We start from the raw sequence: 15,087 nt of genomic DNA, 5'->3' as shown, positions 1-15,087 counted from the left end.
GGTGGGTGGGGCTCGGGTTACTACTGTACCTACCAGCTGATTCCAGCAGCCTTTTCTCCAGCGCCCTGTCATCTTGAAGGAAGACACACCGAGAGGGACCCGGACGGGTGTGCGTGTGTGTGTGTATGGTGTGTATGTGCGTGTGTGTGTGTGTGACAGAGCGACAGAGATAGCTAAATGTGTGTGAAATGCAGAAGGAAGGCTATGGCTAAACTCTTCTCCCACTCCCCAATCCCCCTGTCCCCCAACCCCACAAACCCCCAGGTTAGAACAAGAAAGAGGCCTTTGCAACGGGTAATAAGAAGAGAGAGCCGGGTCCACCGCAGAGATCCTCCCTATGAAGCTGCTCTATGCAAAGTTAACTACAGAGTAAAACAAAAATAGTGGAGGAGATAGAAAAGGGCAGACAATTGAAGGAAACCGAACCTCTCTTTCTTTTTACAAAAAAAGAATGGCTGTGTTTTATTGGCCTCGGGCAGAAGTTGTGGAGGTGGATTAAAACCATCAAAAGAAAAAAAAAAGTAGGATTTTTCTTGTACCTTCAAATTGTTGACCAGTAAAACAAGAGGGTCGTTACCACATGGACAATGAGGCAGATGCTAGCTATCCAGCTATTCCAGGTCCCTAATAAGCTAATTGGTCCATTTGGAATCCAGCATCCTCCCATTGGTCTGGAATCAGCCTGTTTGCTGACCTGTCATTGGCTCAGAGACCACCACCCGACTCAAAAGGTGGATGGGAGAGGGAAAGAGCAGGAAGCCCCATAAGAGACTCTGTTTCTAACTTGGGGCAAAAAGGGAGAAGAAGGGGAAAGAAATGAGAAAATGGGAAGACTCACCCCAGCACACACACACACACGCCTCCCATCATTGTGCATAGGAACAAGTCCAGAAAAATTGAGGTATCTCTTGGTATATCCCTTCAGGGAACCAATAGTAATCAGTCAACACTCCTGTTAAACAATGTGCTAGAGAGCACTGAGGTGGAAACCAAGACAAAAGTCACAACCAGGCTCTCCTGATGAAAGTCTGGCCCCTAAGAGAAGTAAAAGTTAGTGAGTCACACTTAAAGCACAGGCAACAAAAGCAAAAATAGGTAAATGGGACCATAAAACTTTCAAACATCTGCACAGGAAAGGACACAATCAACAGAGTGAAAAAGCAACCTACAAAATGATAGAAAATATTTGCAAACCATATATCGGATAATGTGCTAATATCCAGAATGTATAAAGAACTTCTATAGCTCAATTAAAAAAAAAACTCTTAAAAGTGGACAAAAGACTTGAATAGACATTTCTCCAACGAAGATATACAAGTGGCCAACAGGCATATGCAAAGATGATCCACATCACTAATTGTTAGGGAAATGCAAATCAAACCCCAATGAAATATCACTTCACATCCATTAGGATGGTCACACACACACACACACACACACACACACACACACAAAACAAACACACAGGAAAATACGGCAAGGTGTGGTTCACACTTGTAATCCCAGCTACTCAGGAGGGGATGCTGAGGCAAGAGAGTCACTTGAGACCAGCAGTTAGAGATCAGCCTGGGTAACATGAATAGAACGTGTCTCTACAAAAAATAAAATTAGAACAGAAAATAATAAGTGTTAAGGTTGTGGAGAGATTGGAACCCTTGCACACTATTGTAAAAAGGTACAGCCACTATGCAAGGGAATGTAAACTGGTGTAGCTGCTATGGAAAATAGTATGGAGGTTCCTCAAAAAATTAAAAATAGAACTACTATATGATTAAACAATCTTACTTCTAGATATATATCCAAGCAAATAGAAAACAGGATCTCAAAAAGATACTGGCAAACCCACGCTTACAGCAGCATCATTCAAGAGGCAGAAGCAAATTTAATGTCCATCAAGAGATGAATAGATAAAGAAAATATGGTATATATACACAAGGGCATATTATTCAGTTTCAAAAAAAGAAGGAAATCCTGTCACATGTTACAAAGTTGATGAACCTTGAGGACATTATGCTAAGTGAAATAAGCCAGTCACAAAAAGACAAATATTCCATGATTCTACTTATATGACTGTCTAAAATAGTCAACTCATAGAAACAGAAAGTAGAATGCTGGTTGTCAGGGACTGCGAGGAGGGAAAAGGAAAGAGTTGTTCAGTGGGTGTGGAATTTCAGTCATGCAGGATGAGGGGGATGTTCTGGGGATCTGTTGCACAACAATATGCATGTGGTTGACAATATTGTACTGTACACTTGAAAATTGTTGGAAGGATGAAGTTTATGTTATGTGGTTTTTGGCACAAAAAATTATTTTTTTAAAAGTTAATGAGTCAGAAGTCTGCTGAATCCAGCCTGATAGAAGAGGGGATAAATAAGATATGTAGTCATTAAAATAATTACATATATGCATTTGTATGATAATACATATATATATATATATATATAAAACAATCTCAGATATTATGAAATGAAAAAAGCAAAGTGCAGAACTGTGTATGATTTCCTACTATTCGCATACAGAAGCAGGCAGGTATATGTCTATGAATGCTTGTATGAGCATAGACTCTTCTGAAAGATACCTAAGAAACTGGTTACACTGGTTGCCTGGGGGTCAAGCATAGGAGGAAGTATTTAACATTGCATATGCTCTTTTGTATTGTTTAAGTTTTTTATAATATTCATGTATTACCTTTTCAAAAACAATTACGAGCAAGGAGCCTAGAGACAGAAAGTAAAGTGGAGGTTACCAGGAACTGAAGGGAGAGGAAATGAGGAATTATTATTTAAAGAATACAGAATTTCTGTTTGGGATGATGAAAAAATTCTGAAAATAGTGTTATGCAACATTGTGAATGTACTTAATGCCACTGAATTTTGCACTCAAAGATGGTTAAAATGGCAAATCTTGGCTGGGTGCAATGGCTCATGCCTGTAATCCCAGAACTTTGGGAGTCCAAGGCAGGTGGATCATGAGGTCAGGAGATCGAGACCATTCTGGCCAACATGGTAAAACCCCATCTCTACTAAAAATACAAAAATTAGCTGGGCGTGGTGGTGTGTGCCTGTAATCCCAGCTACTAGGGAAGTTGAGGCAGGAGAATTGCTTGAACCAGGGAGGTGGAGGTTGCAGTGAGCCAAGATCGCGCCGCTGCATTCCAGCCTGGTGACAGAGTGAGACTCTGTCTCAAAAAAAAAAAAAGGTAAATCTTATTTTATGTATATTTACCACCATAAAACAAATCAAAAAAATGAAAGGAAGAGGTCTACAGAACAAGTACAGATTATTCTATTGTGTAAGAAAACACATATAGTCTGGACACAGTGGCCCATGCCTGTAATCCTAGCACGTTGAGAAGCCAAGATGGGAGCATCACTTGAGCGCAGAAGTTCAAGACCAGCCTGGGCAACATAGTGAGAATGTGGGTCTTTTTACTTTTACAAAAAACAAAAAATTAAAAAAAGAAAACAGACATATCTATATGCTGGCAAATGCATAGAAAAGAACCTGTAAGGGGCTGGGCACGGTGGCTCACTCCTGTAATCCCAGCACTTTGGGAGGCTGAGAGCAGCACAGAGCCCATTCTGTTCCAGAAGGAAAACCACAGAAGGATGGTTTTGTTGTGTAAGAGATTCTGCAGAAGGGGACCTTCATGCTGCTCTCAAAAGAAGAAGCTAGTTGTCTGAAATCCAGAGGTTGACCAAAGGCTTTTCTAACCAGAAGTTCCAGACCAGCCTGGCCAACAGAGCGAAACTTTGTCTCTACTAAAAATACAAAAACTAACTGGGCATGGTGGTGGGCACCTATAATGCCAGCTATTTGGGAGGCTGAGGCACGAGAATCATTTGAACCCGGGAGACGGAGGTTGTAGTGAGCTGAGATCACAACCATTGCACCATTGCACTCCAGCCTGGGCAAGAGAGTGAGATTCTGCCTCAAAAAAAGAAAAGAAAAGAACCTGTAAGGAGCATCCTGTAAACAGTGTGGGCCTGGAATTGGGGTGGGTGTTTGAAAGGATGTTTCCATTTTGATTCTACTTATTTTATAACTGTTTGAATATTCTGCAATGACATTTTCTTTTGTAGTTTGAAAAAAAAAATTTTAAGGTATGTCTCCAAAAAGAAGTTGAACCCAAAGTTGAGTCAGAAGTCAACTGATCTCTAAAAATTCTTCAATCTCACTTTGTGTGATCCCCACAGAGAGCTGGAGAGTTTTCTAAAAATATGAAGAAGTGATCTCTTTCATTATGGACATACCTGAACAAAGCAAGCTAGCTCTTAGCAAAACAGGCAGTAAAGATTTGCTTTTAATGACCTTTACCATCCATTAGAAATCATCTTAGCCTTCACTTGTTTGCAGTCTCCCTTTCACCTGAGCTGCCAATGCTTTCAAGCTAGTCTCTGGCTTACCAGAGCTCTATACTAAGCTCCCAAACCCCATCTTCCCTCTCCAAGCATCAGCCCATGTTCTGGACATTTCCTTTCCCTTGTCAAAACTTAACTGCTTCTGGCTCCTTTTCACAAAAGACCTCGCTGAATGATTAAGGAATTCAATCAACCAATTTTAGCTAACTCTTAATAGCTTCATTTGTCTCCCTATTAGTAGATAATATTTTAATTTTAACACAGGCCTTCAATGTATTAATTCAAAGGAATGACTAATAGCGTGTGTGGGTGGGGATGATGGGGTGGGGAGGGGAGATTTTGCTAATCACATCACATAAGCAGCTGCTTTGAAAATATCCCCACTTTCACTGGTTTTATCAAATTGCTCACTGTAAATTTATGAAAAGTAAATGTTTTGTATCTGGCAGGAGATGCAAAATTGGCTGGGAATATGTCATGAAATTATTTGTTTATAATTATTTAATGGTTACCTTTGTATATAATATATGTTGATCCTATTAACAAAATAAATCTGGCCCATGGAAAAAAAAAAAAGACATTCGACAGATTCAGCTTGAGGTGTTTTAACTGAATTAATCTGAAGCAAGCTAATTGGACCACAGACCTACAGTATGAAAGGGACAGCTCATGGGCTGCTTTTTCCTGCTAAGACTGTTGGGAGGGTGTTGGAGGAATGGCTCCAGATACTTTCTACAGAGAGCAGCACAGAGCCCAGACTGTTCCAGAAGGAAAACCACAGAGGATGGTTTTGTTGTGTAAGAGATTCTGCAGAAGGGGACCTTCATACTGCTCTCAAAAGAAGAAGCTAGTTGTCTGAAATCCAGAGGTTGACCAAAGGCTTTTCTAACCAGGGGCTTTTAACAGGATGGTGAGAAGAGAAGCACTCTTGCCATGGACTCATCAATAGGACATTGTCCTAAAACTAGTTGTGAACAAGCCCTACAGGCTGCTTAAGAGAGAGTGGTTTAAAATAAATATGTCCCCAGTATGAAGAAATGGCATGCCCCTGTGTATTAGGCTATTTTGGCATTGCTACAAAGAAATACCCAAGACTGGGTAATTTATAAAGAAAAGAGGTTTAATTGGCTACAGTTCCACAGGCTGTACAGGAAGCATGATGCTGACATCTGCTTGGCCTCAGAAAACTTACAATCATGGCAAAAGGCAAAAGGGAAGAGAGGCATCTCACATGGTTGGAAGCAGGAGGAAGACAGAGTGAAGAGGGAGGTACTGCACACTTTTAAAGCACCAGGTCTCATGAGAACTCATTATCGTGAGGGCAGTACAATGCAAGGGATGGTGATAAAGTATTCATGAAGGATCCACTCCCATAATCCAATCACCCTTTACCAGGCCCCACTGCCAACATTGGGGATTACAATTTGATACAAGATTTGAGTGGGGCACAGATTCAAACTGTATCATTCTGCCCCTGGCCCTACCCAAATCTCATGTCCTTCTCACATTACAAAATGCAATCAATTATGCCTTCCCAACAGCCCCCCAAAGTCTTAACTCATTCCAGCATTTACTCAGAAGTCCAAAGTCCAAAGTCTCATCTGGGATAAGGCTAGTCCCTTTCACCTATGAGCCTGTAAAATCGAAAACTAGTTACTTCCAAGATACAATAGGGTTACAAGCATTGGGTAAATGCTCCCATTCCAAAAGGGAAAAATTAGTCAAAAGAAAGGGGCTACAGGCTCCCAGCAGGGTTCTCATTAAATCTTGAAGCTCCAAAATAATCACCTTGGACTCTACATCTTACATCCAGTGCACACTGATGCAAGGGGTGGGCTTCCAAGGCCTTGGGCAGCCCCACCCCTGTGGCTTTGCAGGGTTCAGTCCCCGTGACTTCTCTCAAGGGTTGGCATTGAGTGCCTGCGGCTTTTCCAGGAACAGGGTGCAAGCTGTCAGTGAATCTATGATTCTGGGGGCTGGGGGATCATGGCCCTGTTCTCACAGCTCCATTAGGGAGTACCCCAGTGGGGAATCTGTGTTGGAGATCCAACCCCACATTTCACTGCCCTAGGAGAAGTTTTCCATGAGGGCTCTGCCTCTGTATCATGCTTCTGCCTGGACATCTAGGCTTTTTCATACAGCCTCTGAAATCTAGGGAGAGGTGCCCAAGCCTCAACTCTTGCATTCTGTGCACCACAAGCTTAACACCATGTGGAAGCCACCAGGGCTTACAGCTTGCACCCTCTGAAGGAGTGACCTGAGCTGTACTTGGGCCCCTCTGAGCCACAGCTGGAGATGGAGCAGCTAAGATGCAGGGAGCAGGGTCCCAAGGCTGTGCAGGGCAGCAGGGGCCCTGGCCCTGGCCCAGGAAACCATTTAGTCCTCCTAGGCCTCTGGGCCTGTGATGGGAGTGACTGCTGTTAAGTTCTCTGAAATAACTTCAAGGCCTTCTTCCCTTTATCTTGGCTAGGGGCAGTTGCCTTTTTTTTAGTTATGCAAATTTCTGCAGCTTGCTTGAATTCTGCTCTTGGAAATGGGTTTTTCTTTTCTACCACATGGCCAGGCTGCAAATTTTCCAAACTTTTATGCTCTGCTTCCCTTTTAAATATAAGTTCCAGTTCCAGGTCATTTATTTGCTGGTTGTTAGAGGCAGCCAGGCCACATCTTGAACACTTAGCTCCTTAGAAATTTCTTCTGCCAGATACCCTAAATCATCTCTTTCAAGTTCAAAGTTCCACAGATCCCTAGGGCAGGAGCGCAATACAGTCAATTGCTTTGCTGAGGCATAACAAAAGTGATCTTTGCTCTAGTTCCCAATAAGTTCTTCATCTCCATCTGAGACCTCACCAGACTGGCCACTTCTGTCCATATCACTATCAGCATTTGGGTCACAACCATTCAACAAGTCTCTAGGAAGTTCCAAATTTTCCCTCATCTTCCTGTCTTCTACTCAGCCCTCCACAGTCTTCCAACCTCTTCCTGTTACCCAGTTCCAAAGTCTCTTCCATATTTTCAGGTGTCTTTGTTGAAATGCCCCACTCTTTGTTACCAACTTTCTGTATTAGGCCATTGTTGCATTGCTATAAAGAAATACCTAAGACTGGGGAAAACAGACATCTCATATGGTGGGAGCAGAAGGAAGAGAGAGCAAACAGGGAAGTGCCATACACTTTTAAAGGACCAGATTTCACGAGAGCTCACTATTGTGAGGACAGTACAATGGAGGAGATGGTGCTAAACTATTCATGAAGGATCCACCCTCTTTATCCAATCACCTCCCACCAGGCTCCACCTCCAACACTGCGGATTACATTTCGACATGAGATTTGGTGGGGCCACAAATTCAAACCATATCACCCTGCTATTTTTTAGTCTTCTTTGATCTATATTTTGCTATTGCCTTTATCTATTTTGAACGTACCTGAATTATGTTTGTTACAATAAACATGTATGTTGGATAACTATATTACATTGGTAAACATTATTCTGGAGTTTTAATGTGTCATCAACCTAAACCTTACTGCTGGCCATGCCTTCTTAACCAGCAGCACCTGGTCACTTAGAGTCTGGCTTTCATGATTCTACATCCTGCTGGTTTTCCTCTCATCTCACTGCCTATTCCTCTGGTTCTGTTGATTCCTCCTCCTGCTCTTCTATTGTACCCCTGAAGGTTAATGTGCCTCAGGGCTTAGTCCTTGACTCTCTTCTCCATCTACACTCACTTCCTAGGTGACCTCCTCTAGTCCCATGGTTTTAAGTATAATCCATAAGCTTATGGATCCAAATTTTACCTTTTTAGCTCAGATTTCTCCCTTTGGGTCCAGACTTGCATATCTACCTATTTTACATCTCCACCTGACTATCATACAGACAGTACTAACTTAATGCAACCAAAACAGAACTCTTGGTTTCTATTCCTCCCCATTTCAGTAAATGGCACCATCCAACTGTGTAAGCCAGATACTGGGAAGTTGTCCTTGACACCTTGCTCTCCCCAGTGTCCAACATCCAATCCATCATCGAGTCTTATTTTGGTCTCTCCACTTCCACTTCCAATCAGTAATGCAGCCAAAGTAATCTTTTCAAATGGAAATCTGAACATTTTATCCTCATCCCCTGTTTGAAACCCTTCAGTCTCTTCTCACTGCAGTTAGAGTAAAATTCAAATTATTTAATGTGGTCTATAAGACCAGGCATTAGCTGGTCCTTGCCTTCGTCTCTGAACTCATCCTATTCCACTCTCACCCTTGCTCACTACAATCCAAACACTAGCCTTCTAACATCCCTTGAATCTTGTCATGATCCTGGCTACCCCAAGAACTTTACATGTTCTTTTCCTTCTGCTGGAGTGCTCTTCCTTCTAATCTTCTCATGGCTATGTAGTGCATTCTCTCAGGTTATATACATCGCCTTCTCAGAGAAGCCTTCCCTAACCACCCTATATAAAGTAACCCTTCTGCATTATTCTCTAATATAGCACTCCATTCCTTTCCTACAGATCACTTATCACTAGCTAAAATTATTGTATGTGTGCCCATGCACGTGTGCACATGCACACACACACACACACTAAATATACATATCATGAGAGCAAGAACCTTGTCTGTCTCTATCACTGGTATATCTCCAACACCTAAAACAGTACCTGGCTCATAGTAGGTGCTGATATTTGCTGGATGAACAGCAGTAAACAGAGGGAAACGTATGGTTCAGAGATGACTTTCACAACCCTGACATAGACTTACACCAATCTTCAATCTGCAATAAAAATATCACACTCGGAGATGTCCTTTTGGCAGAACTAGTGCATTTACAGCAGGTTCATGCTGGGAGGCCAGACACATTACTCAGGGCCTCAACTGCCTATATGCCAGCAATTGACAAACTTACTCAAGAAACACTAGAGTCCCTCAAGATATTAACTGGTGTTCTGAGGGAAAAAAAATGACTTGATCTAACATGTTTAGGGAATGCTGCAGACTGAATCTTTCTCTTGGAGACTCACGATACACATTCGCATATTAAGGCTCCAAGGAGTCCTGTCAGAAATAAAAAGCATTTTAGGTTTGTTTAGCATTTCCCAAACATATTTGACCAAGGAACATTTATGTTCTACTCACTTATTAATATCTCACCGGTCAGTAGTGTCTCTCAAACTATAGTTCTGGAAACACTGTCTAGATATATAATATAAAGATGGAGATGTGTGTGTATGTATGTATGTGTGTGTGTGTGTTTGCATGTGTGCATGTGTGTGTCTATATTATGGATATTAATCAAAGTGAACTTAAGATTCGTGGCAATAAATTCCAACTCAAAGATGTCCATGAGATGAGATGGAGGGAATTCAAGTTTACAGCAAGGCAACAATTGGAGATAGTGCATTCAATTAATAACCTTTTAGGAGGATATTGGCTTACAGTTAGTTATCAGCATTGCTCTAAATTAGTTCAAATATTCTGGCCTGAATGAATTACCCCTAGGCCACTGAGAACCTGTACATAATACTGATGAATCCCTGTCAGTGATTTCTGGGGAAATATGCAACTGGGAGAAGTATCAGTATCAGATCCCCAAAGACTACAAATGACCAGCTTTCAAAAGGGGAAGGGTGGATTCTACAAACTAAAGACCAGTGCAGTGGGCTTAATGTTGATTTGAGACAAGATTCATACCACTCTTCCTCTTACCCATTCCAGGGCTTCTTCCTCTTCCTTGATCCCTCTGTGCTCATCCTTGCCTAAGGATTTTGCATTTGCTGTTCTCTTTACATAGAGCAGGGATCAGCACACTTTTTCTGTAATAAGCCAATGGTAAATATTTTTGATTTTGTGGGCCATATGATCTCTGGCCCAACTACTTAGCTCTGCTGTTGAGTGCAAAAGCAGCCATAGACAATACATAAACAATGAAACTTTATTTTCAAAAACAGGCTGTGAACCAGATTTGGCTCAAGGGCCATAGCTGTTCCATCTGGAGTGTACTTTGCCAGGACCCTCACATGAATAATCTTTTATGTTCAGAATTCAGCTCAAACATCATTTTCTCAGATTACGTCACCCAATCTAAAGTAATTACACATTTAGTTGCTTTCAAATATTCCAATTTTAATTATCTCCACTGCACGTCACTAACTGATATTTTCTTGTTTATTGACTTGTTTCCTCCCCGCACACAAACCAGAATAATAAGTAACATTTATTAAGCTCTTATCATGTACCTGGCATTGTTCTAAGCACTTTATATATATTAACTCTTTTCATCTTAATAATAACCTCCTGACAATAATCCTTAATCTCCCCATTTTATAGGTGAAGAAACAAAGGCTGAGAGATTAACTATTTTATTCACAACCACATATGTTAGCCAGTGGTGATTTCAGGATTTAGGTCCAGGCTCATAAGCATTGTGCTATACTACAACTCAATTATAAGCTCCACAAGAGCAGAGATTTTGTCTTGTTTACTGATGACCCTAGAACAGACCCTAGAAGAATGTTTGACTTATAATAAGAGGTCAATAAATATTTGCCAATTTAATAAAAATTCTAAGACACTCAGATTACTAAAGGGAGACAGTATTTACTAAGAATGAGTCAGACTAACCTAATTTCCTTCTTTGATGAGGCTAATAGATAGAGGAAACAGGAAATGGGAATAGAATCGCATTTCTTTGGATTTTAGCAAAGCATTAAACAAGATCTTTCCTGAAACCTTTTTTTTTCAACTTTTATTTTAAGTTCTAGGGTACATGTGCAGGATGTGCAGGTTTGTTACATAGTTAAACATGTGCCATGGTGGTTTGCTGCACAGATCAACCCATCACCTAGGAATTAAGCCCAGCATCCATTAGCTATTCTTCCTGATGCTGTCCCTCCCCCAGCCCTCTACCAGACAGACACCAGTGTGTGTTGTTCCCCCCACCACCATGTGTTCTCATTGTTCCGCTCCCACTTATAAGTGAGAACACGTTGTGTTTGGTTTTCTGTTCCTGCATTAGTTTGCTGAGGATAATGGCTTCCAGCTCCATCCATGTCCCTGCAAAGTATATGATCTTGTTAATTTTAATGGCTGCATAGTATTCCATGGTGTCTATGTACCACATTTTCTTTATCCAGTGTGATGTTGATGGAAATTTGGGTTGATTCCATGCCTTTGCTATTGTTTTTCACTGCAATGAACATACATGTGCATGTATCTTTATAATAGAATGATTTATATTCCTCTGACTATACACCCAGTAATGGGATTTCTGGGTCAAATGGTATTTCTGCTTCCAGATCTTTGAGGAATCACCACTCTGTCTACCACAGTGGTGGAACTAATTTACATTCCCACCAACAGTGCAAAAGCATTCCTTTTTTTTCTGCAACCTTGCAAGTATCTGTTGTTTCTTGACTTTTTAATAAGTGCCATTCTGATTGGCATGAGATGGTGTCTCACTGTGGTTTTGATTTGCATTTCTCAAACCCTTTTCTTACTAGAACTTTCTTTGTCATGTAATGCTGTTAAATTTATTGCCGTTAAATGTTTAATGCTTTCTTTATTGATTTCCATGACACCACACTTTCCTAGTTTCCTGAACACCTTACTGTTCTTACTTTGTCCTTTGTGTGATCCTCCTTCATCATCAGCCCCTAAAATGTGGATGCTTCCATTTTTACCCTCATCCTGATGACACCTGAATCTATAGCTCCAGGCCAGAAATTTACTCCAAGCCTAAAAAATCACACAGGGACCTCAAGTTTAACATGTCCAAAACCAAACTCATGATCTCTTCCTCAAATCTATTCCTTTTCTTATATTCCCAGTCTCTATTAATAGCATCACTCAGTCGCCCCCACACTAGAAACCTGAAAGTCATGTTTGCCCCCTCACCTCTCTCACTCACCCCATATCTAAACACTGACTCAAACTAAAGGATTTTTACTTCTTAAATGTTTCTCAACTCCACACACCTACTAGCCATGACCAACTCTTCGCCAGTCTCTCTGCCTCTTGTTTTGACCCTATCTGATTCTCCACACAGCCATCAGAATTTTTAAATGAAAACGTGATCATGTAACACCTTATTGCCTACAAGATGGAGTCCAAGTTACATCAAGACCATATAAATCTCCTCAAACTTGCTAGCTACTATTGAAACTGCCTTTGCAAAAATTATAACAGTGTGAAAATTATGGTAGTGGAGGAGATCTGATCTGGCCAATCCCCATCTTGCCTTTGACCTTCAAGCTGCCCTTAATTTTTTCTGGACTTGGGCCAAGCTAACATTGGGAAATATTTAGTTTATAGTTTAAATGATAAAAGCACTTCCCCAAAACTCAGCCAACCGCCTTTGTAAAGTTAATGAGAGACCAACAGTTTAGGAGGATAGAGGAGCTTGAATTCTGCTAAGGTGTAGACATACACAATTACAAGTCATTATTTCAGATGTCACAAGATATACAACTTACCTAATTACTCCTGCAGATAACATCACAATTGTAGAACCTAAAATAGGTTTTTTGAGATATGTTTTCAGGTTTTTTGCAGATCTGACCACGGATGGCTCCACCTGGATCCCCCAATTGCTCTTGTGACCCCACAGAGGAGTGACTCAAGGTGCAAGAGGACCATTTCCCACCCCCATATGATTGCATCCCCAACCAACCAAGAGCAAGCACCCATAATCTAGCCACTCCCACCCCCTCCCCAAAACTACTTTTAAGAACTCCTAACCTCTAAGCTTTCGGTGAGGTTGATTTGACTAATAACTCTGTCTTCCAGGTGGCATAGCTGGCCTCTCATCAATTAAACTTTCTTCACTGTAATGCCATGGGCTCTGTGAATTGATTTTGTTTGTGCAGTGGGCAGGAAGAATCTGTCGGGTGGTTATACTAGCTCACTCCCAGCTAATATTTCCACAATTCCAAACTGCGTGCAACATTGCAATTCTCCATGTAGGTACTTCTCTGCCTTTGTTTATGCTGTGGCTTCTGCCTTGAGGCTCATCCCAACCCTTACCACTTACTCCCACTTTGCCTGGCTGACTTCTTATCATCCTCTCAGATTGAGCCCAGGCACTATCTCCTCCAAGAAGGCTTCCCTTAACATGCCCTGTCCTGGGCTGGGTTAGGTGTCCATCTTCTATGCTTTCAAGGCATCCTTTTTTGAGGGGTTGGGGGGATGGGGTCTCACTCTGTCACCCAGCCTGAAGTGCAGTGGTGCAATCTAGCTCACTACAGCCTCAAACTCCCGGGCTCAGGAGATCCTCCCACCTCAGCCTCCTGAGTAGGTGGAACTACAGGCATGCACCACCATGCCCACCTAATTTTTTAAGTTATGATTTGTAGAGACAGGGTCTCATTATATTGCCCAGGCTGGTCTGGAACTCCCTGGCTCAACCAATTCTACCACCTCAGACTCCCAAAGTACTGGGATTACAGGCGTGAGCCACCATGCCCAGCCAAGACATTCTAAATTTGCCTTTATCACAGCACTTATTCTTCTGTATTTTTCTTGCCTGTTCACATGCCTGTATCCCTCATTAGACTATGAGTTCCTCAGAGCAGGAACTACAGCTTATCCACAGTTGTACCCACAGTGTTATGTACAGTGCCTGGCACATAGAGAGAATTCAATTAATGCTTAATGAGTCAGCTATTTTATGACCACCATACATTGCTGCTTCATTTAGTTGACTTATAACAACCTTAATTCTTTTTCACACAAGCAATTATTACATAATGTGGTAAGTGCAATGATAGAGGTACAGCAAAAGAACAGAAAAGGGAGACCTAACTTGGCCTGAGGTGAGTGGAATGGAAGGAAGAGGAGATACAGAAAATACACTAACTCAAACTTAGGCAGCAGTAATAGAAATAGAGTACACAAATCCAGAGAGGAAATAGTGTGGATCTATGCTGCATGGCCAAACTACACCTGAATAACAGGTAAGTTGGATTATTCAATAAATGGCAATGGTTTGGAAAAAATAAAGCTAAACTTCAGAAATGGTTGAAGGGGCTGGGTATAGTGTCTCAAACGTCTAATCCCAGCACTTTTGGTGGCCAAGATGCGAGGATTGCTTGAGCCCAGGAGTTTGTGAGCAGCCTGGGCAACATAGTGAGACCGAGGCTGCTCTACAAATAATAAAAAAGTAACTGGGCATGATGAAACATGCTTGTAGTCCCAGCTACTTGGGAGGCTGAGGTGGGAGAATCACTTGAGCCTGGGAGTTCAAGCCTGTACTGAACCATGATCGCACCACTGCACTCAGCTTGGGTGACAGAGTGAGACCCTGTCTCAAAAAAAAAAAAAAAAAAAAAAAAGTTGAAGGAACAGGGAAGGTTTAGCCAGTATAAGGGAAGACTGTGAGGTATTTGATGGTTTTCTTCAAATATTTGAAGGGCTGTGTTATGAGTGGAATTGTGTGCCCCCTGCAATATATGTTGATGTCCTAACCCCCAGAACCTCAGAATGTGACCTTATTTAACAATGGGATCTTTGCAGGTATAACTAGTTAATATGAGGTCATATTGGAATAGGGTGGTCCTTTATACCAATATGACTGGTGTCTTCATGAGAAGAGGGAAATTGGGACACAGAAATAGAGCGAAGACAGCCATGAAAAGATGGAGACAGAAATTGGAATTACACTGCCACAGGTCAAGGAATGGGAGCCCCCCCACAAACTGGAAGAGGTAAGGAAAGATTCTCCTTTAGAGCATTCAGAGGGAACATAG

General features: G+C 41.6%; 1 protein-coding gene across 2 annotated transcripts in view; it reads right to left on the bottom strand.

The window, feature by feature from the left end:
* MID2 (midline 2) overlaps window positions 1-99 on the bottom strand; it is a 105,903-nt gene extending 105,804 nt beyond the window's left edge. For both annotated transcript variants that reach the window (NM_001382751.1, NM_001382752.1), the window contains exon 1: window positions 34-99. The gene's annotated coding sequence lies outside the window, so the exon portion shown is untranslated. The remainder of the gene's footprint in view (window positions 1-33) is intronic.

Source organism: Homo sapiens, chromosome X (assembly GCF_000001405.40).
Source record: "Homo sapiens chromosome X, GRCh38.p14 Primary Assembly".
Lineage (NCBI taxonomy): Eukaryota > Metazoa > Chordata > Mammalia > Primates > Hominidae > Homo > Homo sapiens.
The sequence above is the reverse complement of the archived record's forward strand: the minus strand, read 5'-3'. Positions and strand labels throughout refer to the sequence as shown.